General features: G+C 39.6%; 1 annotated feature.

Annotated features, from left to right (window-relative positions):
- Window positions 457–506: a silencer, noted in NCBI's record as "silent region_13218". NCBI's record gives its function as "represses an Ori minimal core promoter by ATAC-STARR-seq in GM12878 lymphoblastoid cells {active_cell/tissue: GM12878}" and the evidence as "EXISTENCE:reporter gene assay evidence [ECO:0000049][PMID:35858748]".

The following is a 903-nucleotide window of genomic DNA, read 5'->3' as shown; positions in this document are numbered from 1 at the left end:
TTGGAGAATACCTGGCGAAGTGTGCTGAATCAGTCAAAAGGAATGAGTGTTCCAAAATGTGAATGCTAGTCAGTTTGTAATGAGTATCATTGAAAATCCCAAGTTAAAAAGTCAGATGCTTGTTTATCATGTTACTCAAAGCATCTTTAGTAAAATACCCAAACCTCTAAAATTATCAATTTCACCTAACCCTTTGTGAAGACTGTACATGTCCACTCAGGTCTGATGGTGTAGGAGAGGCGGGGCAGGAAACCCACACTTGAGAAGGGACTCTGAGGCTACTTGCTGCAATCTGTCCAGCAGAGGGCGGTGGTACACCTCTGCAAAGACCGAGGCCCACTCTGGGATACGCGAGGATGGTCAGAAAGATGCCTAAGGCCTGCCTGCAAGCGCAGAAAATTAAGAGCATTGGGGAAGGATTCTATGCAGGAAAGCTCTGAGGTCACTTGATACAAGCACAGTGCTATCGTGCACAAGCTGTGGTTTCCCAGTGAACAGTCTTAAGTCACTCAGAAATATATGAAGTCTCATAATTTTACTTTAACCTAAAATAAAACAAAAACAATAAATTATCGTTCCTGAGGGCCAATGCACTAACTACAAAGCTCATTTAAAAATGAAAAAAACACTAAATACTCAAAACCAAGACAAAACACAAATGTATAAAGTTTAAAGGAAAAATCCTAATCATTTTTTCTAGCTTCTGATGATATCGAACATGTTCAGTGCCTTAAAGTTTCCCAAAGTTACAGTGACATTCTTTTAAACATACAGGCTTTTTGAGATCTTTAGGATTCTACTAGTTTTGTGTTTTGTGGCAAACTCTTGTGGCACAGAGCAGTTAAGTGCTTTATTTAGGGACACATAGCTAGATGGAGTAGAGCCAGTTAGTTTGAAAACTAG

Source organism: Homo sapiens, chromosome 21, assembly GCF_000001405.40.
Source record: "Homo sapiens chromosome 21, GRCh38.p14 Primary Assembly".
In the NCBI taxonomy this organism is placed as follows: domain Eukaryota; kingdom Metazoa; phylum Chordata; class Mammalia; order Primates; family Hominidae; genus Homo; species Homo sapiens.
The sequence above is the reverse complement of the archived record's forward strand: the minus strand, read 5'-3'. Positions and strand labels throughout refer to the sequence as shown.